This window comes from Homo sapiens, chromosome 4 (genome assembly GCF_000001405.40).
Source record: "Homo sapiens chromosome 4, GRCh38.p14 Primary Assembly".
Taxonomy (NCBI): Eukaryota; Metazoa; Chordata; class Mammalia; order Primates; family Hominidae; genus Homo; species Homo sapiens.
In genome coordinates, this window is record NC_000004.12 from 117,105,532 (window position 1) to 117,111,462 (window position 5,931).

A 5,931-nucleotide genomic window follows, 5' to 3' on the forward strand; every position below is an offset into this window, starting at 1 on the left:
TTTAAGTCACCCAGTTTGTGGCAATTTGTTACAGAAGCCCTAAGAAACTAATAAATACATACTTTAAAAGTTTATAAAAAACAAAGAAAATGTGAAAGATATCACATGTGGCCCACAAAGCCTACAATACTTACTGAGTTATCCCTTTAAGAAAAATGTGTCCACCCTTGCTTTAGAGCCTTGCCTTAACAATTTTAATGTTTGGATGTAGAGTAGCCTTGAATCTAGTGATAATTTGTCCCTATTGCTGAGGTTTGCAACTTCTTGAATCTTCCTTCAATGCCCCAGGTGATGAATTAGCACTCTCTGCTCTAGTTGGGTAAGTATCTCTCCTGACACCTTGTGAGATCTTTGCACTGCCTTATGGAGTCTTGCCTGACACACATATGGCTTAGCATTCAGCTGACTCAGTAGGGATCCCTGTTCATTTTTTCACCATTGCATCTTTCTCTCCGGAGCTCTGCCTTGCAACTTATAGCCACCTCAGCCTCCCTGAATTCTAATCTCCTCAACTGGGGGATCACCATGCAGATCACTGTGTTGTGTTGGGGATTCTCACCTCTGCTCCCTAACTCTGGAGTGTGTCATCCAGCAGGGTAAGAGAAGGCTTACAGAAGTCTTGTGCCGCTTGTTGTCCAAGGTCTGCAAATATTTTTCTCACATAATTTTTCCAGCATTCTAGTTGCAAATAGCAGAAATGTAAGTCCTGGCTCTGTTACTCTAACATGGTTAGAAATGGAAGCCCTTTATCTTTTATTTTTATTCTTATAAATGTTGACCAGTACGTTTAAGTGTAATAAGAAGAATTAAGCATATGATTCACATCCTAAACCTAGAATGTTATAGGACTTCTTCCTTGTCTAATGCCAGAAGTGCCCATTTTTAATTATGTGGAAGTCATTCACAACCTGATCCCAAGTTCCTGTATAAGATAAAAGCTGACTTTCTAGGGAATGCCTTAAACCTGACTATTGAAACCAACTTTCATAACAGCTCACAGGTGCTAATGGCTAAGTCTTCCATCCACATACAAACTGATATGTAATATTTAAACTCAAAAATACTTGATCAACATTATGTTTTTGCTTGTTTGCTTCTTTGACACCTTAGGATATTTAAAAACAAAAATATCTTGTTTTCTACATGCTCAAATTGCTGATATTTGAACACAGTTCCAAATTAGCCTAATCAGTGGAGTGTATAAATGGATTTAGGGAGTTATGTGCAGTTATTCAGGTCCCCAAAACAAATTGATTATTAAAATACCAAAATCCTTTCATAATATTACTTTAGCTTCTGGAGGTCTTACTATACCAGTCTGCTTCTCTGTAGAACTATAAATGACTTCTTGCCATTCAAGGAAGGAATTTAAAAATAAGCAATGTAATACTTACTAAATAAATAGAAAAGAGAAATCTAACAGTTCTTGAACTATGTTGCATAACCTTGCATGAATGATTATATTTACAAGATATATATATATATATCTTGTATATAAGATATACAAAGTTTATATATATATATCTTGTATATATAAGATATACAAGATATATATATCTTATATATGTAAGATATACAAAGCTTATCTTCACAACTATATTATCATAAATTATCAAGTTTCTCAGGGAAACACAATTTTCTCCAATTTTTCTTCTTAAAATAAAGGTTTAAATTTTCTCATAGCATTATTTTATACTTTTTAAGACCCTGGAAAAATAAAAAGCAGAAATATGTATTTTTATTTTAAGTTTTAAATGCATCTACAGTTAATCTTCAGTGTAGCTCCTTATTGTCTCTGCCCCTCTCCATCTCTCTCTCTCTAGCTCACTCTCTCTCCAGACATATGCTCCCAACACACACTCAAAACATTATGTCTCAAAGAAAGCAGATAAGAATAGCTAACATGTAATGACAAGTAACTATATACCAGAAAATGACTTAATTTCCTTACAAATCTCATTTTATTTAAGACTCAAATAATCATCACTCTTATTCCCATGGAAAAAGTAATTAAGCTTTGGGAAGTTTTCCATTTTAGTAAAGGCAAGCTGAATCAGCATTTGAAGACAGCTCCATATTCTCATATGCAGTATTTTATTATATAATTGTTTGGAATTCAAGAAGAGTTTAGTGGCTAACATATTTGCTCTTCAAGACTGCAAGATGGTTCGTCTGACATGTTTTTATTTTCATGCATTTAGGTTTCCCTATTTTCTTTTTTTTTTTTGTTAAGCTGTTGCATTCTATTAAACATCATACAGTTTTCTTTGTGGATAACCTGTTTCTGATTATATCCTTAGAACAAATTACTAAATTTTTAGAAATCGTGTAAGGAATTATGGTACAGTGCCATAGCGTCTTCCAATTTCTAAATCCTTCTTAATGGTGCATCTAACTGGAAATATTTTACTATGTTTAAAATGTGAGTCAGGGACAAACATGCATTCTATTAATAGCTTTTTGTGTTTTCCTGTAAGCTTACTTTAAATTTTCATGTTATTATTAATTAAAATTGTGTATACCATTTAAAATTTAGGAAAGAGACTCCATGGCAGATATAATGATGCAGAATCTCCTTGGGTAGAACTTAAGTATCTAAGAAAAAATAAATTCCTGGGTAATTGTGATGTACATGAAAGTTGAAGATCTACTGATTCATGCTGATGCCCCAATGCCTTAATTGGACTCCATCCACTTTCAATAGATGTAAAACACAATGATTTGATATAACTTGCAAACACTTTCTGTATGCCTTGTATTCATCAGGGTGATTCTACTTATTTTCCGGTTCAAGCAAATGCTCCCTTGTCAATTTAGATACATTGAATTAACTTAAGCTCAATAATGACAGTAAGGTAATTACACAAACATCACAATTCCAACTAGTGCCAATGTGAAAATACTGCAGTTGAAGATGTTTGCTATTAATCTTATACTTTTGTGAATGCTATATTATTTATCAATAACAACTGAAGAATAAAGCGAAGTCATAAAAAATAGAAAAATTGTTAGTAGTTCATACAACGATTCACGCTAAATAAAATATGAATTCCAAAGATTGCTTAGGACATTTTCAAATGAAAGCTAGGCAAAAGGATTATATATGTTCAAACCAGAATAGCTAGTGTTTACACAAGATGGGTATTTATTTTTAAAAATAATAGTATTAATAACATATATAAAACATGATATTTATTTATGCAAACTGTATGTACAGAATTGTGCAATCATCACCACAAATAATTTTAAAACATTTCCATTACCCCCCAAAAGAAGTCTTTTGCCCATCTGCAGTTATCATTCCCACCTCACCCTCAAACCGTGTATCTATGTTATGTCTTTATTGAATTGGCTTTTCAGAAAATTTCTTAAAAATGAAATCATAAAACATGTATTATTTTTTGCCTGGCTTATTTCACTATTTATGTTTTTTAGTTCAGCTATGTTGTAGCTTCTATTAATACTTCATTCTTTTTGTTGCTACATAGTATTCTATTATATGGCTATATCACATTTTATTTATCTATCATCAGCTCAGGGGTATTTGGGTTGTTTATTAGAAGATAAAATAATTATTTCTGTAAAAACATTCTACCAAATTTAGCAAAAGACTACTAGATATAATTAAAGGTATCAAGATGGCAAGAATAAACCTCAATGCACAAAAATATATGTTTTTCCTATATAAAATTCATTAAAAATTAAAATTTAAGACAAAATATTACTTAATCTGGTATCAGAAAATGTTAAGTACTTGGGTTTAAATTTAACAAAATATGTCTAAACCTGTAAACTGTAATCTGCATAATCTTGCTGTGAGAAAGGGAGATGCCATGTTCATAGATCAAAAAAGTCAATATTGTTAGTGTCATTTTTCTTGAAATTGATCTACAGATTTAAGGCAATCACCATCAAAATCCCATTAGATTTTGTTTGTGGAAATTTAACCTTTGATTATAAATTTTTTAGCATATGTGAAAGACCTAGAATAATTTTGAAAATGAAGAAAACAGAAACCTTAAAGTACCTGATTTCAAGGCTTACTGTGAAGATATACATAGTCATTTAATTTTCCACAAAAGTGGCTTTAATATTTCATGGAGATATTTTTTAAAAGGAATATTTTTTGCCTTGTTTATTAACAAAGTGTATTAGACTACTTGATAGCCATATGAAAAATAAAAATTATAAAAATAAAAACTGGACCTTTATCTCACACCATACAAAGAAAAAATAGAATCAAAATTTATCATAGGCTTATTAATTTAGAAGCTTAAAATAAACAGCCTAAATTAAAAAATATTTATAGGAGAACACCTTTGTAGTTTTAGACTAGGGAAAAATATTGTGAATAAAGCACAATAGGATTAACTACGAAAAAATACAATAAGTTGTATTTCATCAAAATTTTCTGTTCTTCAACAAACACCATTAAGAAAATGAAAAGGCAAAAACTGATAGAATATAGTATACTGATATTTGACAATTAAATTATATTGAGAATATATAAAGAACTCTAGTAAGTTAATTACAAAAAAAACAAATTAAGCAATGTGATTTGGTGTAAAAAGAAAAGATTTAAACAAACAAACAAACAAAGACATAGAAATGGGCCGTGAGTCCATGGGAAGATGCTCAACACCACTAATCAGCAGATAATTCAAAATTAGAAGTATGATTAGATTCCACTAAATACCTCATGAAACATCAGACATTTTAAAGAACAAAATTCTAACACTGGCAAGGATATAATGAGAGGAAAACTTTCATACATTTCTGGTGAGATTGTAAAATAATACAACCATTTTGGAAAACTTTTCATGGCTTTCTTATTAAAGTTAACTAGAAAGTTACCATAGTATTAAGCAATTCCTTCACCAAGCATTTACTCAGAAGATATAACACATGTAGTCACAAAAGGGACTGACATATATGAATATTTATAGCAGCAATTCGTAATAGCAATATATTGACTATAACATCTATTAGTTGAATGCATAAACAAATTGTGCTATATGAACAAGTTTAAATTTTGTTTAGTAGTAAAATTAACAAAAAATACAAACAACAACATGGATTTATTTCTAAAATTATCATGCTGCACATAAGAAGCCACAGACAGAGAATACATACTTCATAATTCCATTTCTATTAATCTATAGAAAAGGCATCTATTCTGAAAAATGGGCATGGTGTCTTTCAACAAGACAGGGGTTGCCTGGGGTGGTTAGCTGTGAGAATTGAAGAAGAATTACTAGGGAATTTTTATTTGTGCTACAAATGTTCTGTATCTTGACTGTGGTGGTTGTTAAAAATACGTGGTGCGAGTATTTGCAAAACCTTTAACTGACCACAGACTTTTTAGAGCTGTAAATGTTTTTATTTTAAAATGCTTTCACTTAAAATGATTAGCTTTTATTGTACTGAATTTGATCACCATAATGTTCATTTAAAAAATTAAATTGAGAGATAAATCCAAAGCTCTTACAATGGTTCTATTATTAATTAATTATTATTAATTAATCAGGTAGCATTAATAAATTGCTTAACATTTTAGAATTTTCACAAATTAAAGAGAATAATTAAAACTAGGTAATATTAGCATGAAGGGTTGTTGAATTTTGTCAAAGGCCTTTTCTGCATCTATTGAGATAATCATGTGGTTTTTGTCTTTGGTTTTGTTTATATGTTGGATTACCTGTATAGATTTTCATATGTTGAACCAGCCTTGCATTCCAGGGATGAAGCCCACTTGATCATGGTGGATAAGCTTTTTGATGTGTTGCTGTATTTGGTTTGCCAGGATTTTATTGAGGATTTTTGCATCAATGTTCATCAAGGATATTGGTCTAAAATTCTCTTTTTTTTGTTGTGTCTCTGCCAGGCTTTGGTATCAGGATGATGCTGGCCTCATAAAATGAGTTAGGTAGT